This window comes from Homo sapiens, chromosome 20, assembly GCF_000001405.40.
Source record: "Homo sapiens chromosome 20, GRCh38.p14 Primary Assembly".
Taxonomy (NCBI): domain Eukaryota; kingdom Metazoa; phylum Chordata; class Mammalia; order Primates; family Hominidae; genus Homo; species Homo sapiens.
In genome coordinates this window covers 12995589-13018321 of record NC_000020.11, presented here as the reverse complement: position 1 = coordinate 13018321, position 22733 = coordinate 12995589, and the positions used below count along the sequence as shown (strand labels likewise).

Sequence of the window (22733 nt, the reverse complement as noted above, 5' to 3'; positions counted from 1 at the left end):
AAATGTAAATATAAATGAAAGCATTGAAAATGGTACTGAGATTGCACAATGACTTTTCTAGTCATTTTAAGGAAATATAATATCCATGTATTCAGTTTTTATTGCTGCTTAATAAGCCACCAGCAAACTTAAAACAGCAATTATTTATTTGCTCAAGAATTTTTAATATGGGCAGAGCCCAACAGGGACAGCTGGTCTATGATCCATGAAGTATCAATTGGAGCAAACACACCCTGGGGCTGGAGGATTCACTTCCAAGATACATCACTCACACAGTTTAGAAGTTGGTACTGCATCTCAGCTAGAAACAGAGCAAGGATACTTGGTTTCTCTCCTTGAACTTCTTGGGCTGCTTGGGCTTCCTTAAAGCATGGTGGCTGGATTCCAAGAATGGGCACTCTACAAGGACTGGGTTCAAGCTGCGAGTCTTCTTGTAACTGACTCTCAGGAGTCCCAGATTGTCCCTTCCATCACGTTTTTGGTCAAGTAAGTCATTAGGTCTAGCCCAGGTTCAAGTGGATTAGAATTAGATTCTACCTCTCAATGGGAAATACTCCAAAGAATTTGTAACTATCTTTCATCTGCTGCAGGAGTGTCCAATCTTTTGGCTTTCCAGGGCCACATTGGAAGAAGAATTGTCTTGAGCCACACATAAAATACACTAACACTAATGATAGCTGATAAGCTAAAAAAAATCACAAAAAAGATCTCATAATGTTTTAAGAAAGTTTATGAATCTATGTTGGTCTGCATCCAAAGATGTCCTGGGCCAAATGCAGCCTGCAGGCCACATGTCGACAAGCTTGATCTATTGCATCATGTCTAAGATATCAGTATTGCCAGAAAATATTGTACTAAGTGAAGTTTCTATTCAGGGAGGCCATGTACTCTTGAAAAAAGCTCCTGAAAGCCAGACTATCTCTCAAGCTCTGACTGGGGCTAAGTGTGAGTCCACATGACTCAGAGTCACATGAGGTCAATTTTCTTTAGCTTAGAGTTGTTCAAAGTGAGGCATGGAGGTGACAGGTTCACTAATGTGGTATGTCTCTGAGTGAATAACATTGCCTATTGAAAGCACAGATATATGACAGTTTGGTGTCATTTGTGATAAGCTAAAATTTTTATTAAGAATGAAAAATCAGGAAAACAAAACAACTCACCATTCTTTTAACTCACACTGACTCTGCCCTTTAAGGCTGTGTCTGCTGGCCCCTTCTCTCTGGAAGTGGGTATGAATCCCATGCCTAACATTATCTTGTGTTTACAGGGGAAGCGTGGACTAAAGGATAAGAACTTAGGTTCTAGGATTGAACAAACTTGGTTTCCATACCTGGTTTTGATACTTATAAGTTGGTGACCTTGGTTGAGTTACTAAAGCTTTCTGTTTCCTCACCTATAAAATGGGTCCAAAAATAATACCTCATAGGAATGCTGTGAGATGATGAACATAAAGCACTGGGAATGCCTGGCACTTTGAAGATCTCAAGACATGTTAAAGATTATTATAATTATTATGTTCTTGATTACCTCCCAAAGATTTAACTATAGGCCAACATGCATTAGCTATTGGAGCTTGATGTCTTTCAATATCTTTAGTCACAGTGAAAGCATAAGCACCTTTCTTTTTAAAAGTATATTATTGATACCTTAGACAACTGGTATTATGTTCAGTTGTTAAATAAAGGTCTCTAAGCCTATTATCATAGAAAGTAGATAATATCATGGGGTCTTCGACAGTTGTTGAAGTAAGAAGTTAGGATAAGGTAGATAGCCTAGAGTTTATGTCCCAGTTTTGTTCTAGTTGTGTGACCTTGGGGTAAGTTATTTATGTTTTCAGAGCATCAGTTTCCTCATCTGTATGAATGTGGCTAATAATATCCACTTTGCATTACTGCTATAAGAATTCAATGAGGCAAATTACATAGTAGGACCTGGCATGTAGCACCCATCAACAATTGATTTATTAGCTTTACTATTATCATTATTAAACTGATCAAAATAACTAGATTATTCAAACTAAGTTTCAACTTGACTTTGCACTTAATGCACACAAACTGAGAAAATGGACTTTTCTTTCTTTTCTCATGGAAACTGATTCTAGCATATTCCTTTCCTTCCCTTTTCTGACTTCTCTTCCCTTCTTTCTCTTCCTTTCCTTACCTTTTGTATTTCAAATTGTATTTCCCTCATCATAGCTTTTGTCCATTCTTTTCTTTCTGGTGTTTGGCCTCTTTTTGTATTCATTTCTAAAAGTTATTTATATAATCAGAAAATTGCATTTTATGATATAAATTTTAAACATTTTCCTGGTCTGTAATTTGCCTTTTGGTTATTTCACGGTGTTATTCTTGTTTTGTTTTTGCCATGCAGAAATAAATATTTGATTTTTATGTAGTCAGATTGTTGACCTCCTGTTTTATGGCTCCTGGGTATTATATCATAGTTATAAAGACTTTTCCCATGTAAATATTATTTTAAAATTGATATTTTCTTATACTTTAATAGATTAACAATTACCTATAATATTTATCTATCTGTTCATGTACTAATAGAAAACCATTCTAATTCTTTTGGTGAGCAACATGATTTACTAGTTGGTAGTGCTAGTCACCCTCATTATTATTATTTATCATAGTCTTTCCAATTATTCTTCCTTATTAATTTTACACATAAACTTCAATGTCATTTGTCTGGCTCAAAAATATGTTGATTTATTTACTGGACTTACACAGAAACTGATAGGTTAACTTAGGCAGAATTAATGCATTTTTCATCCTGAGTCTTCCTCTACATGTGTTGTATGCCTTTCCACTTATTTTCAGTTTCCTTTCATGTCCCTCAGTAGCATTTTCATACTCCCTTCCAATTGATTTTCATTTTATTTAAATCTATTTCCAGGTCCTTCATGTTTCTGGTGCTATTGTAAAGGAGTTTTTACTTCAGTCATGCTTTCCAATTGCTTTTTATGCATTACCCTTTATGATGCTTCTTGCCATATTAAGTTTTAGTTTTTTTATATAGTTAAAATTTGCTAAGCTGTTCATGGTTTCTGGTTTTTCATCTTGCTTGAGTGCAAAGGGAACAAATTATGGCAATAATATTTACCCTTGATATATCCCTTTTCTCCTTTGCCAAACACAGTGGGTAAGCTCTGTTTATGTTGCTTAACAGCATAATCCTGTCTTGTATGATGATTAGCCCATTAGATCAGGGCTAATTCATAAACCATGCTCTAAGAGTCACCATAAATAAAGCTTACACAGTTTGGGAGAAACCGTATCTGATCATGCTAATTCCCTTCTCAAACCTCCATCACTTGCACATATAAATGGTTATAAAAGACACTCTTGGCGCATCCAGACCTTCTTCCATTCTGGTGATTTCTTACTGCAAGCACCTGTAGCTCAGCTTGAGGGCTTTCTCTGCCATAGGAGTGTGCTCAGCCCATGTGTGGAAAGTCTACAAGTGCTGAGCATCCCTCAACTGATTATGGACCGGAATTGGTTGACATTTATCTTTTTTTTTTTTTTTTAAATTTAGACAGCTTTGAGATGTGTTGTACGCCATCTCCCAGATGTCCCCGACAAGTCTCAGTCCCAGTTGCCAACAATGGTAACTTGCTCATGAGCGTATCGGCTTCCTTCCCTTCTGTGCCTCACTTCACTATTTTTCCTCTGTGCTTCCTGGGTTCACCTCCCTAATAAATTTCTTGCACTCAAATCTTTATCTCTGGGTCTGTTTCTTGGGGAATGTAAACTAAGACAAAGGCATTTTACAATCTTTTCCCACCTGGTTCTTTCCATTAAGCATCCTGAACCTCCTACCATGAACTCATCTTTCATTGGCCAAAGGCATAATGCTCTGATATTTTATATCCTTCTAACAGCCTTTCCCTCTGCTGGAATGCCTTTCTATGCCTGTACAACTGGCTACTCTGCTTTCAAGACTTGGGTCAAATGCCTCTCTGAAGCAAGTTGTCTTCCCAGCCTAGGTCAGATACACATTCTTCTGTGTTCCCATGCAAGGTCCATATATTTCTATTGTGGTGGACTATTTCCAAAGATGGTCACAATAATCTCTCCAATCCCTTACAACCTTTTTCAATGTGACTTTGCAGCCTCTGTCATGAAAAAAGCAGCATCTGTTTCTCCTCGCCTTGCATCTCAGCTGGACTATGACTGGCTTTGTCTACAGAATGTAGCAGAAATGTCCCTAGGACATAAAAGAGGTCTTGTAGTTTCTATTTTTACTCTCTTAGAAGCCAGTCATCCTGTAAAAAAGCCTGGGCTACTCTGCAGAATAATGAGACCACATGCAGAGGGTGTCCTGGTGAAGTAGACACAAGGTGCTTTGGACAACAGCTGGTACCAAGGTCTGGGACATGTGAATGGGGTGATCTTGGATGCTCAGGCAAGTTGATCTGCAGCAAACACCACGTGGAGCAGAGAAAGGCAATCCCTAGCAGCCCCTGCCTGAATCATGAACAATCCAATAGTTATTGTTTCAAGCCATTGGGTTTTGGACTGGCTGTTACATAGGAATAGATAACTGTAACATTTGCTATAGTACTTACCATTAAATACTATAATTGCTTGTCTTTCTCATTTATACTGTGAGCTATTTATAAATGGAGGGAGAATATTTTCATCTTAATGACTGCAGCACCTGACACACAAGAATGCTTTATAAATGATGAGCTCATGAAAAACTGCGGATTCCTTAAGGAGTTCATGGAGAAGCCTTGCCACATTGGGGATTGTTTTAAGGAAATAGGAGCCAAGAAACAAAGGCATTAGAAAATGAACACCAAAGACAAGACTAAGATGAAGACTCAGAGCAGTTGAAAGGGATTTCCAAAACTTTTAGTTTATGAATTCTCCTAGTAATTGGAGAGAATATTGACCTCTATTTCAATCAGGGGGTAGCCTAGGTGAGCCCCACAGACACAGGTACTTACCACGGCTGTCAGGCAGCTACCACTGTTTGCAATTAAACTATCAATCAGTCATTGCTCTTATTCTCTAGAAGAAGTTTATACTACAGCAGAAGAGTAGCTCTACCAGGATATTGCAGACTTCAAGAGGATATAGAAAGGTGGGGAGAATAGAAGTTCAGCTTAAATGGTTCTAAAACTGGAAATGATTTCCATAATAATGTGGCTTAATCCTTTCTCTTCTTCCAGCATCTGCTGAGCACCACCTCAGCCACAGCACTGCTTCTCACTGTCTGCGATGAAGGCTCACTGAATTGAGAAAAGTCTCTCAAAAGTCACATGACCTATTGTGCCTCACAGCTTCCTGGAATGCTTCATGACCTTTCTTATGCCCTTTACTAGCAACTCCTACATTCATCTCTGGAGTTCCTTTCCTGTCTTTTCCTCATTTGCCCCTCAGGAATAAGCTCCCTATTTTTTCTGCAATTATAATGTCTCAAGGTTCAATTTGAGTCTTCTCTGCTCTGAGAAGCTGTCACTGACCACCCCAACTTGTGATTTCCTAGAACATACTGAAAAAGGAACTGGCTTTGGAGCAACTTGGATTTGGGCTCAAATCCTGGCCATGCTGATTGTGATTCTTCAGAAGTTCCTTAGTGATTTATCTTTCCCCATCTGTATAATGGACAGTATACTACCACTTCATGGGGCTGTTTTGAAGGTACAGGAGATGCCTGCCTGAAGTGCTTAGCCCTTCCTGATACATAGCAGAATATTGATATTTATTATTATTTTTGCTCTTCTCCAACTTCTAGTACTAGTATCTATACCACTCATTTGTACTCAAGTTATGTCTGCTTTATGGCAGCTCTTGTCCTTGCACTAGCATTTAACTTTGATGTGATTATTTTAATGTTGATATAAGCTTTCTCCTAACAGATAAATTGTAAACTTCTTATTTATCTTTATAGGTCCTAAGAATAACAGATGCTTAATAAGTATTGGTGAAAAAAAAGCAACCACCTGTTAGGGCTCATAACCTATACCTGGTAATATTACAACATTCAGGTCAAGAACTCAATAAACCTTGAATTAGAGTAACTCTAATCCCCAAACATTTTTGTTTTCCAGGAAAGGGATGATTAGGAAAACTTTACAATTTTTTTTTCATCCTGCAGGTTTCGTTTAAGAGAAGAAAATGCAGACTCTATCCTCTTAAGAAACTACTTCTGGGAAAATGCAATGGAGACACAAGGTCTACCTTCCTAGGTTTTGGTTTTCCAAATAAAAGTTTATGGTCAGGTCAAAAATAATTGCTGGGAATTAAAAAGCAATTATGTGGATAATAGTTGCAAAGTAATTATATAGAATTAAGTAAGGAATAGGAAATTCCTATTCATTAGGAAGAATTTTAATTCAATAAAAATTATAAGAAATATCAAGTTTATAGATTAAGACTTTAAGCACCCATCTGTCTGTAGTGTGGATATGCTCATGAAGAGGGAGAACAAATCCTCTAGTATGATAGTGTCCTGTTACAAGTAAAAGGTAGGAGGCCATGTTGGGAATAAACAAATAAATGGACTTAGTCAGTGATGAAAACCAGTTTTTGTGCATTCTCAGGACATATGAGGTTTAAAGAAAAAAAAAAAACAGGAAAAATAGTCAGGCTCCATAAAAGCTCCAGAAAGGAACTCTAGAAGGTTTCTAAGAATGGAAAGGCTCTGGTCCTTGCCAGCCTTGAGACTGGGGCAGCAAGCCTGCTGCAGGCTGGAGCAGGGATGGCAGCCTACGCTGGACCAGGGGGAAGGAGGACTCATGAGCACCGCCTAATAGTAATTTTCATATGTTTGTTATGCCAGGGAACCCTTTGTCAACAGAATCTTGTAGGGTCCCCTAATGTATAAAAGAGATAACTGTGTTGCTGTGTGGTTGCAAATAAGTGGGAAGAGAAAGGGTGGGAGGATCATTGGAGGGGCTGGTAGGATCTTAGATGCTGCGGCAGAAGACGTTAGGCCAGGCAGAACGTGTTTGGGAGACCAGCAGCCTAGGATTCTGTAAGCCTTTGCAGACTGCTTCTATCCACAGGCAAGGCTTTTGGTCTAGGCCTAGTTTGTTAAAGGGTCCCAAGGATCAAAACTGGTGGCAAAGGAACTTGAGAGTAAAGACAACTTCGTTCCCATCATGGAGGGGACAATAAGCCCTCGTTTGCCCTATTACACTATGATCTCAGCCGGGTTTTTTTTGTTCGTTTGTTTTTCTGAAAAATATTTTTTAAGCCATAATTGAGGCTCTCAATGAAAGCCAATTGTAGCTTAGTGACACCTAAATATGTCTGAGACAAGAGGCTCTGGATGGCCCTTCAGGAAGGCAACAGCAGCCCTGATGTTTTCGACCGTTCTTAGGGAAGCCTCAGTGTCCAAGGATATTTACAGTCTTGCAGCTGCACTTCATAATGAACCTTTAGAATCCTGGGTTTTATCCTTACTTAGGAGTGGTTATAACTGTCTAAGTTTCTAATCTCATACCTCGAATGTGATTATAAAACCAAGATAAAATAAATAAAAGGGAGAAAAGTTAAGAAGGAATCTCTTCCCAGATGAGATCCCTCAGGGTCAGAATAATCACAAGGGTAAGTAGATGAATAGCTTGTGAGTTACAGGCATTCCAGAGGCAAGGATCGTCTTGAGTAGTGGCCTGAATTGATATTTAGTGATGCATAAGTGGTGGATATTACTGCAATTTCCTTCATACAACTGACAGGAGTTGAGCACCTTCTCTTCACATTGCTCCAGGTTTCAGATCCTCAGGTGGGACAGGCCAGTTCTGAGGTTTCTGATAGACACCTCCCAGCGTTGGACAGTGCCTTTTGTTAAGAGGGGAATGCTTTTGGGGACCACAGCCTGTTTACACACAACTCAGGCTCTAGAGCTCCTTTAGCCTCTTCCAATTGCACACACGAATGTAATTCACTGAGAGGAGGACTGGCCCCAGCCAGACCCACCTGTCCTGTGATCTTAGAACAATCTGCCTTTCCTGTGGGTGGATACTTGCTCTCTGGATGATCAAATGATGGAAGATTGCATGGGGCTCCCTGTGCCACTTCTCTTTCCAAACAGGAGGCTACCTGTTTGACTACTTGGGCTTGCTCCTCAGGCAGATGAGCTCACTTCTGCTGCTCAGAGCAGAGTGACACGGGATGTCCTGTGGGGAGTGGGGAACTGCCTTACATAAGGACCTCACAGACCCAGGCTCTCTCTTAAAACAAGCTGACAACTTTCCTCGAGTTCCTCCTGCCTAGGACACTCTGCAAACATCCCGGTGCAATAAGAGTGAAAAAAAAAAAAAGTGTCAAGTTGGAAAATACAAGTTTGTTTTAAAGATGCTGTTCTGTTTTCTGAGAGCAGTGTGTCACAATCAGCCCTGCTTTCTGAAGTGTTTTGGAAAAGAATGTCTGTGACGTCACATTTCAAAGAAATACTGTGGCCTCAAATCAAGTAGTGAGCTAAAACAATGCTCCACTACACACCAATAATAACTCGCCTTTCAAACAGTGATGCATTTCTCATGGACCTGGGAAGAATGCCATCTCCACCACATAATGTCAGCAAAATGTACTTTCACTTCCTCTTTTTCTTCTGAAGCATGACGGTTGTAGCAGGTCTCTTGGACAAAAATATATGCAAAGAGTTGGAACTTTCTTAATTCTTCCCTCCCCGCAAAATGCTTGAGACAAAAGTCTAGTAGGTACATTTGTATTTTAGGGAGCCTGAAGCTGTGTGAGTCTGTGTGTATCCTCTTTTGCATACAGAAGACATTTTCTCCTTAATCCACACCTAAACTTTTTGGTAGCCAAGCACTTTCTATTAACAGAGTCAACAGTCAAAACATGTAAAAACCCTTCATAAGATGAACTCTAAGTTAGGACAGCCTCAAATATCTTCACAGAGAAATATTGAAACGTTCAGGTAATTCAGAGAAGAGTAGGGGAGAGTGCCTCTTACCTGGGCTTCCTTCACTATTCCATTCTTTGTGCAGTTTCTGCTTTGTGAGCCATTGCTCTGTTTCTTGTGATTGTGAAGTTTCCCGTTGCAAACAGCACCACCTCCAGGGTTAGCCATGGGTGTGAAGTGACAGAGCCCGGGACAGGTTTTCCTTCAGAGGTCTCTGCAGGCTTTAGTTTTCAGTCTGCGAGGGGATGGGATAAAGCTCTTTGGGGCTGAGCCCTTAAAGGAATCTTACCAATCAGGCTTTTCCAGAAGAAGAGCAACAGCCTATCTTTTTGTCAGATCGTTGAAACTAAAACAAATGGTTACCTTTATACTTCTCAACTCCCGTCAAAATGTGAACTCCATGGCAACAAACCTGCTTCCGAAACTGTAAAGGAGATTGTCCATGCTGGCTCCTTCTGGGGACTGAGGGAACCTGGGGACTGAACAACCCAGTGGCAAAGTGTGAGGAGGCGGGCTGGGAGGTGGAGAGTCTTTTAAAGACACACACACACAGCACACTCACAGAGTCTTCTAAGTAACTGAGTTCTGAGTTAACCTCTTTTTCCCACCCCCTCTCTCCTGCATGTAATTGTGGTTTTTGGTTGTAAACCAAGCTCAAAAGTTAATATTTCTTTTTGCTATAAAATAGCATTCAGAGGTGGTTGCCAGGGCCTGGAGGGATGAGGCAAAGGGAAGTTATTGTTTAATGGGTACAGAGTTTGAGCTGGAGCAGATGAAAAAGGTATAGTGATGGATCAGTGCACAACAATGTGAATGTACTTAAACTAAACTGTGCACTTAAAAATGATTAAAATGGTAAGTTTCATGTGATGTATACATTTCCATAATTTACAAATGATTTGAAAAGATTTTTAAAAACCCAGTATTCAAAACCAACCTATGTTAAAATCAGTACTATAATAAGGGGGTACCAATCCATCAAGAATTCCAGTAAGACAGATGTTGAGGAGACAGAATATTTGATGACTGCGTTATCTTTATCTCGTGACCTTGGGGGAGGTATTTACCCACTTTATGCCTCAGTTTTTCCATCTATAAAATATCTGCTGAGGTAGAACAAAAATCATGCTGTAGCTTGGGTTTGTTACTGACGCAGGTGTGAGGTGGTTGATGACTGCAGGGTCCCAGTCCTGAAACACATCTGGTTTACTCACTAACTCTTATTCTCTCAATGCATGAATCTTCAAGGCTTTGTTTCTTCCTACCATCATCAAATGGCATGGTGACATGATTTGCTGGAGAGTCATTACAACCTGTTGAGTCTTCCCAAGTCCACCCTTGTGGTTTTCCTGAGTCGAGACTTCTTTAGCATCAGACTCTAAGAAAAGAAACCAATTTATTGGGGCAGTAGACAAAAACAAACAATCAAACACACACACACAAACAAAAAGAAAGAAATGGCCCCTGTTTCCAGAGCCTCATGTCCTGTAACTCAGCTCCCTTGGACAGGGTTCAGTTCTACTCCAGATTAATGTAGCTTTTGGAGGTGGACATGCTAACGCTTCTCCTAACTATGACTTGCATATGAGGGTACCTGCCTTTACCATCCCAAGGAATGCTGGAGGAATAAGATAAGGCCTGAGGCCAAGGTGAAAGACGGAGTTAATACCAAGTGTGTTCAGCCCAGTTTGTGTCTCAAGTTCAAAAATTTTATCGCATTTCTCTCAACCTTTATCATCAAAGTAGAAGTAGATTTTCACTGGTCTCTCCCTTCCATGGCTGTTTCACTGAGATTTGGGGGCTAAACTCTTGTAGGTTTATTTTCTTCTAAGATTTAGGAAATGGAGAGATGAAGAGGTAGAGGGGAGCACTATTGTTGGCCCAACTGCCTCACGTTACTTAGAAAGACAAGTTGAAGAGAGGGCGTTATTTTCCCTGAGCTCTATTGCTCAGTGCAAAGCATTTTTTTAATAAAGATTTTGAAATAAAACTTTTTTAACATTAGATGTCTCTTTTCTTTCTTCTTTTCTTCTTCTCCATCTCTTTCCTCTTTTCACATTTGTCCTTTTCCCTTTCCTCCCCCACCCTCCTCTTCTTTTTCTTCTTCTTTTTCAAATTTTCTTTTTACAAGGGACAAAAGGTATATATAAAATAAATCTTAAAACACAGCTGAATTCTGCTTTCTCCGTTTCCTTCCCCTAATTGCAATTGCTAAGGTTAGGTAATCACACATAGATTTCTGAGAAATATCTACTACGTGCTCTCACTCTTGAAACTTTTCTATTTTACTTACCGTATTGGAATGTGTGCATTGTTGTGTGTACAAAATTATATTAACACACCAACCATTTGGCATCAGGCACTGCTGGTATGTATAGTCAGTGGTGACTCATTGCTTCATACCATCTCCAGTTAAAATAAGCGAAGAGTTCTGTTGAAGTCAGTGGTAGGTTTAGGTTTAAGGTTTGGAGCAATACTAAAACACAGACTAAATATTGAGCAAGATTTGGCATCTCTGAACAACTAAATACATTTTGGATCAACTAGTAACCTCAGAAAATGTTTGAATAAGTACTCTGTATTTGCTGAGTCCTTGGTTCTCACAAGGAATAAAACATACACAGTCTCCACCTTCACAGAACTAAGACTCAGCAGTACCCACATGCCTTCTACTTAGGATATCTTACTATTAAAGGTAGAAATAAATCTTCCCACTAGTACATTAAAGGCAAAGATGATAAAATTAGCAATGGCCTTGTGGTGTTCTCCAAAGTAATGGTTTTGCCCAGATGCCAGATTCTCAGCTCCTCTCTTAATGAAGCAGCCAAAAAGGGAGATAACAGAATGAGGATAGGCAAGAAAGGGAAGGACAGAGGCTTGGCAATGTGTTGTGAAAACGCTCTTGGAACAACTTGGGGATAGAGAGTTGGCAAAAATGGGAGGATATGAGCAGAATGAACTGTCAGAATTGTACAGTGTACAGAAATCTGTTCATTCTCAGTGACTCAAGTTTTACCCATGTAATGGAGAGTGATGCTCATGCAAAACTAAATTTTCAACAGGTTAAGTGACTTTTCCAAAGCCACAGAATAATATGTGGTAGAAGTGGGTCATGAACTCAAGAATGTCTGGGTCTAAGTGAGTGCCGTTTTCCTTACACCATGACACCTCTCCTTCAGCTGTTGACTTGAGAACCATCAACCACCAAGAAAAGAAATAACAGAATCTGTTATTATTTGGGAGATTTCATTGGATTGGCCAAATAATGAATAAAAATGCTTTATTTGCTTTTTGATGTTTAAAAATTTGCAATATATTAAATTTTTTTACAAATGACTAATGACATGTCAATATCTACTAATAAGTCTACGTGGAAGTACTTAAATTTCCCGAAGAGTTCAATCTGGAAAAATTCTCATCGTAGAGACCATTCATTTCCATAGATTTCCCCATGAATAGGTTGTAAACGTGATGACCTAAGAAGGCCAGCCGCATGTGAGTTAATATTAAATTTGAACTGACCAATAAGTCATGAAAATTATCTGAGAAAACCCAGAAAGTGATCATGTCAATTTATCTGATATCAGGTGGAAATTATAACTCTTAATCAAGATCAAGTTAATTTTAGTTTTCACACTTTTGGGTTTTGCACACTGTTGTGATTGGAAAATCCATGCATAGCACATATTTAACATCACATATCTTTGCCCTGAAATAGATCATACTGACACAGTCAGTCCCTCATTCATATCCTTTTGACTTAGCTTGGAGGTCCCTGATACACGGTGTCAGCTGTTTTCTGTGTTTCTATGCCCAAGCAGGTTCTCTGACCATGGGGTATTCTCTGCTTCTGCAGTGTGGGCCAGGTGTGCTGGGAAATTCACATCCTTGAGAGCAACTCTCAGCCAACAAGGGACAGAAGTTGGTGCATAAACACCCCATGTTATTTTCTTCTTTATGGGACAATTCTGAGGCATGTTCACAGCCTCTGGAGAGATCCCAATGGGACTGTGGCTCTGTTGCCCTCAGTAGTAACCCTCTTATAAAAACACCCATTATTAAGTTTTCCTCCCTTCCTGGTTTTACTTATCCATGCTTCCTGAAAATACCCCCCAATAAACTACTTGCACCTAAATCCTTGTCTCAGAGTCTGTTTGTGGGAACCCAAATTAGGGCAACCAAGTCCATATTAGCCCATCAGATCTTATTGATCAGAGATCAAATTGGATCTTTTGAATGATCAATATTAGACTGTTCTGAAGATTGAGAGAGATATCATGTAGAAAAACTTAATACATTCATTTGGGTAAAACCTCATAAATTCTAGAGACAGACAGAAAATGTGTACTCTTGTGTCTCCCATAGGGAAGATTTGTGGAATTTATATAAGAAGAGGGTGTCTACAATTTAGTTGGGGAAGAAAAGTCATTAACTTTGAGTTATAATATCATAAAAACACCACATATTTTGAATGAGAAACAGGCTCTAGAAAGTCTTTTAGAATGTGCTTTATCTGCAGAAAAATTAAAACTAGCTTATTCTTTAGTTAATGCTTTGATGCAAAGAACACTTTTATGTTTCTAGCTAGCATGGGATGATAAACGGAAATTAAATGCTTAGCATTCTTATTCATTTTCTATTGCTACTGTAAGAAATTATCACAGACTTAGTGGCTGAAACAACACAAATGTATCATATTAGAGTTCTGCAGATCAGGAGTCTGACGTGGGTCTCACTAGGCTAAAATCAAGGTGTCAGCAGTGCTGATTTCTCTTTGGAGGCTGTAGGGGAGAACCTCTTTCCTTGGCTTTTCCAGATACTAGAGGTGTCCACATTCCTTTATTAATGCCCCCTTCCCCCATCTTCAAAGTCAGCAATGCTGAATGCCTGTGACCTTTCTTCCATCATACATCTCTGTATATATATGGGACTACGGCCAGGAAATGTTCTCTGATTTTAAGAAATCATATGATAGATTGTGACCATCCTGAAATCCAGGATAATCTTGGAATAACTTCAATTACATCTATAAAGTCCCTTTTAAAAGTAATTAATTTAAGTTGACAAATAAAAATTGTATACATTAATGTTGTGCAGCATGATGGGTTTTGATACGTGTATACATTGTGGAATGGCCAAATCACACTAATTAACATATGCATTACCTCTCCATAATTATTTTTTGTGTGGTGAAAACACTTAAAATTCACCCTTTTAGCAATTTTCAAGTATACAATATATTGTTATGAATTATACTCATCATGTTGTATAATAGATGTCTTGAAGTTGTTCCTCCCCTCTAACAGAAATTTTTCATTATTTGACCAATATCTTGCAAAGTCTCTTTTGCTATGTAAGGTAACATGTTCACAGGATGCAGGGATAGGGTGTGGACATCTTTGGAGGATCATTACTCTGCCTACTGCAGTACTTATTACTACTAATTAAAATTTTGCAGCTAGTCAGAGGATCTCATTATTTAGTTTACTGCTCTAAGAGTTTTCTTCTAATTGTTTTCTTCCAAGAAATGTAGAAAATGTATATTTTTAAAGACTCTCATAGGTTAATTTTCAAGTTGAGCATCTGAAATCTTTTTTTAGCAGTTTTAAAAATTGCAGGCTAATTTACATAGACAAGGATACACAGACTAATTGCACAGCTCAGTGAATTTTCATAAAGTGAGCACACATGGGAACTGTACCCAGCTGAAGAAATAGGACATTTCTCGTATCCAGAAGCCCTCTTCAGGCCCTGCCCTACTCTTCACTCCTTAATCACACAAAGAAACCACTATTTTAAGTTCTATCACCATGGATCAGTTCTGCCTCATTATTTTATATAAAAGAGTCATTCAGTTCATATTCTTTTGTGTCTGGCTTCTTGCACTCAATTATTACGTTTGAGAGAGTTTTCCACTTTGTAGTGCTTAGCAATAACTTGTTCATTCTCAGTGTTACATAGTATTCCATTTTAGGAGCATACTGTAATTTATTTAATCATTCTATTGTGGACATTTGGGTTGTTTCTAGTTTTTAGCTATTAAAGCAATTGCTACTGTGAATGTTCTAGTATAGCCTTTGGTAGCCATATACGTACATTTCTGTTGGGTACATACCTAGAAGTGGAATCATTGGAACATAACGTGTGTATCTGTTCAACTTTGGAAGATACTGATTGATATGGTTTGGCTCTGTGACCCCACCCAAATCTTGTCTCAAATTGTAGTCCCCATGTGTCGAGAGAGGGACTTGGTGGGAGGAGATTGGATCATGGGGGCAGTTTCCCTATGCTGTTCTCCAGATAGTGAGGGAGTTCTCATGAGATCTGATGGTTTTAAAAGTGGCAGTATCCCCTGCTCTCTCTCTCTTTCCTGCCACCATGTAAGATGCGTCTTGCTTCCCCTTCACCTTCTGCCATGATTGAAAGTTCTCTGAAGCCTCTCTTGCCATGTGGAGCTGTGATTCAATAACCCTCTTTTGTTTATAAATTACCCAGTCTCAGGCAATATCTTTGTAGCAGTGTGAGAACGGACTAATACATGGATCCATGGCTTTCCAAGTGTTTGCACAAGTTTATGCACCAACCACTAATGAACATCCCAGTTGATCCACATCCTCACTGACACTTGGTATAGTCAGTCTTTTTAAAATTGTAACCAGCCTGGTGAGAGTGTAGTCAGGTGTTTTTTTTTTTATTGTTGTTTTTAAGGTAGAATTTACATATGAGGAAATGCACAAATCCTAAGGTACAATTCAGTGAATTTTGTCAAATCTAAACTTGTTTGAACCTTAGTGTTCCAAGTCGTATAATTGTGAATTTTCCTATCAAGAGGGCTTGGGGGAATTAAATCCTTTGTGGCTAAAGAGGGAAAATTGTATTTACCTTGTGCTCCCACCCCCTTCTTCCAGTGACAGGCATGGGTGAGTAGTCAGGGTCTGTGGACTGCTGGTTTATGTTGTTAGTATATTACCTACCGCAGAGGGCATTTACCTACTGACCTGAGGGGCAATGGTGTGGAAAAGGAAAAAGGCGAAGCGGTGGCTTTTGAGTGTTAGAAACGTTGCATAGTGACCCAGCCTCAGAGAGTCTGCCTGTTCTGCCCCAAGGTCTTTCTGGGGGTGCCAGGACACAAGTATGTGATAAGAATGAATCCAAGAGCATTGAGATTTCAAAGTTGCCTCTTTCTTTCTTTTTGTTGCTCTTGTCACATTTCTGTAAAAGTCATGTATGATAAGGTATTTATGGCATGGCTAAAACACATTCTCTTCCATGCCCCTGTGCACACAGGTCCTGAGGCTTCAGGCTTAGCTTCACTACAGGAAATGTATCATGCAGTTTTAATTTCTCTGCAAGTAAGGAAGATGGAAAAAACAGCTGGCCTATAAAAAGATGGTGACCTGGATGTTCTCCATCAAATGAAACACCCTCAAATTTCATTTCAGTAATATGTCAGTCACTCATGGAGGCTGGGTGTCATGGATAATTGGCTCTGCTAAGATCAGGCACATTCATCTGAATCTTGTTTATTTCTATTATAAAAGAGGATCACGACCTCTGAGGGCTAACATAAGGATTATAGGAGAGAACTTCAGAAATCATATGATACAAAACTTTAGCATCTCTCTTCCTCTTTGTCCAGGAATATTGTTACTGACAATATAATGACATTCTTGGACCTAAGAAGAAAGTTTCAATGACCACATACTACAAGTTTGGCTGATAGAAAGTCTCCCGTAAGAAGGGTCAACAGCCAGGACTGTGGCCCTCAATCTCTCTCACAGTCTTCACACTTATACCCAAGAAACCAGAAAGAGGCCTGGACGTTGGCAGGGACCATATCACTCAAAGTCTGATGTCTTTGGTCACCGATGTGACCTAAAGTGCTGCTGTCCTCAGATCATGGCAACCAAAGCTACTGTGATCACCACTCTTTTCTTGGCAAAGGACAAAGAGCATGGAGCAGTGCCTATGGGAGGGTTATAGGCTGGGCCTGGAAGCAGCACACACTGCTTTCCCCCAGTCCCACTGGCTGTAACTCGGTTATGTGACTACACTTACTTCAAGGAAGGCTGGGAAATGTAGTCTACCCTGTGTCCAGAAGGAAGAGGAGAATGTGGATTTTGATGACCATCAGCTGTCTTAGCCACAGATGGTTTATACCTTGACCTAGGGTAACTTTTCTTATATTCATAGGAATATAGTAGCAGCCATAGTGAGGCAGCAAGGTAGGTAAGAATTAGAGGCTCTTGAAAAATATTCATCCAGTGCTTTTAGTCCTGTCGCTTAACATCTATTTCTAGACATCTTAAATGCATAGACTCTGTGGGAGACATTTATGTAGCCTGTCTCCTGATTTACTAGGAAATTTATCTGGACTCCTAAATGCGATTGGATCTTTTTATACCCCTGTTGGACATGATCTGGTTATAAAAGTCCACCTGGTTATAGACACATGCAGAGTGAACCCGTTCCAGGGTGGCCTGCCTCAAGAGTTAAATCCTGAGACAATTCTGGGGTCTTAGGAAGGACAAATTTTCTAAGCTTCCAAGGGCTTGTGGCTGAGCCCTTCTGATATTGACAGTAAAAGAGGTACAGTAGTGTGGATCCTAAGAGGTGGCAAAGCACTGGGCCTTCTGGGGGGCTGAATCTCTCCAAGCACAGCAATCATAGAGATAGCATCTATAAATCAGCTCACAACATAGCTGTTGAAAAAATATAACTTTTTCTTAGAACTTAATTTTAATATTGAGGACCCCCCCTGCTTTTCACTTTCCACCAGGTGGTTGAGATAATTTCAGTCCATTGGCCCAGTCCTAAGGAGCATTTATGAAATCAGGTTGCTCTGGGAAGAGCAGGTTTGAAGCACGACAATGTCTTTGGTCACTGACATATGCTCCTAAGCATCATCTCACATTTCCTCTTCCTCCTGCACCCTGAAGCTCTAGTGGCTTTCTCTCTGCTTTCCCTGCATCATGTGGGAAGGCAAGGGAATAATTCAGCTCTGTTCCTTCCCTGTCAGGCTAGGAACCAGGGATCAGGGATCCCTGCAAGTCCGTCTATGGCTCCATCCACCTAGACTCCCTCTGCAGCAGTTTTCTCTCTCCAGGGACCTTCCTCCTTTCAGGGGAACTGCGTGGGAAGCAGAGCAAGCCCCTCCCTGCCACCCACCTGTGCCTCCGCTCATTACTTCTTTACCGACTACTCTCCTCTCAATCTGGAAGCATCTCTCTTTTGGTCCCTCAAGAACATCCCTTTCTCCAGAAACCTGCTGCTGTCACTCATGGGTGTCTCTGTGTTACCCCAAAGACTTCAAAACTCCAAAAGAGCTTTTTTTTTTTTTTTTTTTTTTTAAATGCATCTGCATTTTACTCTGCAACCGTCCCCTCCTGGTACAATGAGAATAAAGCAGCTCAACAGCTAGGATGAGGAGTGAAGGAGAGACTGATCATCAGTTGGTATAGTAGAATAATATTCTGGTCGGGCGTGGTGGCTCACGCCTGTAATCCCAGCACTTTGGGAGGCTGAGGTGGGTGGATCACGAGGTCAGGAGATCGGACCATCCTGGCTAACATGGTGAAACCCCATCTCTACTAAAAATACAAAAAATTACCCCGGCGTGGTGGCGGGCGCCTGTAGTCCCAGCTACTGGGGAGGCTGAGGCAGGAGAGTGGTGTGAACCCGAGAGGCGGAGCTCGCAGTGAGGTGAGATTGCACCACTGCACTCCAGCCTGGGTGACAGAGCGAGACTCTGTCTCAAAAAAAAAAAAAAAGAAAGAAAGAAAAGAATAATATTCTACAACAATTATTCACCTACCTACATATCCATCCTTCCTTACAAAACGCATACACACAAAAAAGCAAGGAAATGTATTGTCCCATTACAGCACTTGAAATGGATGTGTGTGAGCTTTGCATTTCAAATTGTCTCCATTCAGCTACATGTACACATATGCGTTACACAGTAGGTAATTTTGTAAGAAAAAAAAATGCTCCGGCCTTGGAAATGGGCAAGATAAGTTACCAAGTGCCCTTTTAGTAGAGGGCAAAACATAGTATAGTGAACTTTCAGAGGATCATCAGATACTACAGGAATCTGCACCTCTTTATTGACTTTCTGTTGACTGTTTTACAATTCTGTAGGGATAGAAGTTAATGTGTAGAAAACTGATAGCAAAGTTAATTATTCATGTGGAAAGCAATGCAAATGATTTTTCACCAGTAGAGATACAATTTGATTTATGCCAGTTGGATGAGATAACCCTAAATATCATTAGAATAATTTCCCAGAGAACAATATTTAGTTTTGCATCTATTAGAAAGTTCATTTCTGCATTCCTGTCTCTCTTTATAAATATATCTACATCTATCTATATTTTTCTGTTTCTCACATTTTCATTTGATCCAGTATTTATATATTGCTGTTTATTAAGTTGAATAAAATCTTCCTTGGATAAGATAACCCCAAGCATCATTATAATAATTTCCCTAGAGAACAATATTTAGTTTTGCATCTATTAGAAAGTTCATTTCTGCATTCCTGTCTCTCTTTATAAATATATCTACATCTACCTATATTTTTCTGTTTCTCACATTTTTGTTTGATCCAGTATTTATATATTGCTGTTTATTAATTAAGTTGAATAAAATCTTCAATGTGTTCATTTTATATTTACATAAAAGTCAAGATTTTACTTTTTGAAAATTATACTTTAGTGATTTACAATATAAGCCATTTCTTTGTATAAACTGCTATTCTCTTCCCCTCCTTGACTTATATTCCAAGAAACTTTCTCAGGGTTTTTCCACATTTCATTTAGCCTTCACAGTAATCTTCACAATAACAGGTAATAAAATTTCCATTTTACCCATTAAAACCTGAGGCTCAGAGAATGGTTTTGTTGTAGCTCCAAGGCAGATAAAAAAATATTTAGTAGTAGAGTTGGGGTTTCCAATAAACATTGAGCTTACTTCAAAGCCCTTGTGCCTCTCATTTGTTGCTCTGGATCATTTTAAGGCCAAAATTGCTGAGGACTGTACAGTCTTACAGTAAAAGTAAAAGTATCGCAAGACCTTATGCTCCTCTTTTTAAGCCTTTTGAAGAAAAGGCAAACTGTTAACTTTGGAGGGTATTTTTAGGGACAGGATCTTGCTCTTTTGCCCAGGTTGAAGTGTGCTGGTATGATCTTGGCTCACTGCAGCCTCGACTGCCCTGGCTTAAATGATCCTCTTACCTCAGCCTCCTGAGTAGCTGGGACCAGAGGCACATGCCACCACACCTGGAATTGTATTGTTTGTAGACACAGGGGTTTCACCATGTTGCCCAGGCTAGTCTCAAACTCCCGGACTCAAGCAATCCACCTGCCTTGGCCCCCACAAAGTGCTGGGATTACAGGCTTGAGCCACCGCATCTAGCCAACTTTGGAGATTTTAATTTAAAGCAAATAGCAAAGCAAAACAAAACAAAACAAAAACACACAAAAATGTAACAAAATCAAAACAACAACAAAAATTCAAAGCAACATTTTTCTCCCTCCACCATAGAGGCTATAGGGTATTGGACATGGACGTCAATTGCTTGAAGGAATGTATGGTATTTAAGAGGCCTAACAGTCAACAATCTAGTGCTGGCGGCAAGGTAGGCACATGTAAAATAAAAAATATTCACAAGATTGAAAGATTCTGCCAGGATTTTTTTTTTGAAAATTAATGGATAAAGAATCGTGATTAATTAGTAATTGGTGATCAAATGTATTATGCCTCACCTTGGTGGAAAGAGAAAAGCATAGATGATAATGTTTTATATCTGCTTGGTATTCAGGTTAAAAGATGGTCAGTTCATCTTATTTTCCTTTTTCTCCCCTCTCTAAATGGTGAGGAAGCTGTGATTCAAAGATGAATGATACTAGCACTGGGACACTTCTTCTCATTACGTGCATAAGAATTCTTGCTTTCTTCAGACTGGCTTGACTACATTGACTATTTTTTCCTGCCCTGAATGTGTGATTCATGACACTTTGCACAGCTGCTATAAACACTGTTTTCTTAAATTCCAGACACAGTCAATGTGTTAAAGGAGTAGAGTAAGGGCAGGATGAACTACATAATTTGCAGACACGGCACAAAATGAAAATCTAGACCCCATCTGAAACAAGAAACAGAATGTTCTTAGTGCCCCAGAAGTTCCCAGATGCCCTCTCCACTCCCAGCTTTCCTAAGGATACCCACTATCCTGACTTCTGATAGCATAGGTAAGCTTGGCCTCCTTTTGAGTTTATATTAATGAAATCATGCATGAAATCTGGCTTCTTTTGCTTAATATTATGATTGTGAGATTTTTCCATATTTTTGTGTGTAATTGTAATTTGTTTATTCTCATTGCTTGATAACACTCGTTTTATAAAATCTTAAAGTTGTTACTACTGGTATCATAGTAAGTTTCCCTTTTCTCAACACACATACACATACACACACACACACACACACACACACACACAGTGATGAATTCACTCTACTCAGCATAGTGGTGGGAAAAGGAGGGCTGTATATTAACTGGGTTTTGACTTTTGAATAGGCTATCCGTTGCCCAATAGCCATTATGTGTTAAATTTCTAGACGATATTGGTGACACACTGAATCGTATCACCTTCTTTTCCAAATGGAAAATTGTTTTCTTCCAATTAGTGAAGTAATGCACATAACTTTAGCTGGTAACATCAAATCTGTATTCAACCTGTTTTTCCACTTCTGGCAACCTGACAACTTTCTCTCCTTTAATTTCCAAGCGATTGGTTTCTAGTTTTTGCCAATTCGTGTGATGATGATCATGAAGAAATCACATGTACGTGACATATGGAAAAACTCACAGAAGTGAATCACAAGTAAGATATGCATTGATTATACTTTAGCTTGTTTTGAATGTAAAGATATGTCATCAAATATTTTCTTGTAATATTTATGAAGTTTCTCAAACTGTATTATTTGTACTTTTTAATGAAAGGATTATTGATATATAATTCACATACCATACAATTCACTCATTTAAAGTATACAATTTGATGGTTTTGGTATATTCAGAGTTGTGCAACCACCGCCTCCATGAAGTTTTAAAATTTTTATCACCCCCTAAAAAGACTCCTATACTCTTTAGTATAGTAGTCACTCCCCATTTGCTCTCCACCTCTCCCACAAACCTCCTCTTACCTAAGCAACCACTAATCTACTTTGTTTCTATAGTTTTGCCTATCCTGGATATTTTACTTTAATGGAATCAGGGAATATGTGGTATTTTTGCAAATGGCATATTTCATTTAACATAATGTGTTTAAGGTTTATCCACACTGTAGCATGTATTTGTACGTTACTCCTTTTTATGGCCAAATAATACTGCATTGTATAGATATACCACATTTTGTCTATCCATTTATCAACTGATGAATATCTGGATTGTTTCCGCCTTTGGCTAGTAGGAATATTGACAGGTTTTCATGTGAAAATATGTTTTTATTTTCTTGGGTATATAACTAGAAATAGCATTTTTGGTCATGTGGTAACTTTATGTTGAACATTTTTAGGAAATGCCAGACTGTTCTCCAAAGTGGCTGCACTGTTTCATATTCCCACCTGCAAAGTATGAGAGTTCCATTTTCTCCACATCTTCATTAAAATTTATTATCTGTCTTTTTTGCTTAAAGCCATTCTAATGGGTGTTAAGTGGTATCTCATTATGATTTTGGTTTGCATTTCCCTGGTGGCTAATGCTGTTGAGAATCTTTTCATGTGCTTATTAGCCATTTGCATATCTTATTTGGAGACATGTTTATTTAGATCTTTTGCCCATTTTTAACTTT

At 39.1% G+C, this 22733-nt stretch overlaps 1 protein-coding gene across 5 annotated transcripts in view, besides 1 other annotated feature; it reads right to left on the bottom strand.

Annotated features, from left to right (window-relative positions):
- The window catches only part of SPTLC3 (serine palmitoyltransferase long chain base subunit 3), a 160132-nt gene extending 150782 nt beyond the window's left edge, over positions 1-9350 (bottom strand). For 3 of the 5 annotated variants that reach the window (NM_018327.4, XM_011529279.2, XM_047440256.1), the window contains exon 1: positions 8938-9350. In NM_018327.4, the coding sequence (NP_060797.2) occupies positions 8938-9054 (117 nt within the window). In that variant the 5' untranslated portion in view covers positions 9055-9350. The remainder of the gene's footprint in view (positions 1-8937) is intronic. The other 2 variants (NM_001349945.2, XM_047440255.1) reach the window with 1 other exon arrangement.
- Positions 18278-18449: a silencer, noted in NCBI's record as "fragment chr20:12980521-12980692 (GRCh37/hg19 assembly coordinates)". NCBI's record gives its function as "represses an EF-1alpha promoter that drives an FKBP-Casp9 reporter gene in an ReSE screen in HepG2 liver carcinoma cells {active_cell/tissue: HepG2}" and the evidence as "EXISTENCE:reporter gene assay evidence [ECO:0000049][PMID:32094911]".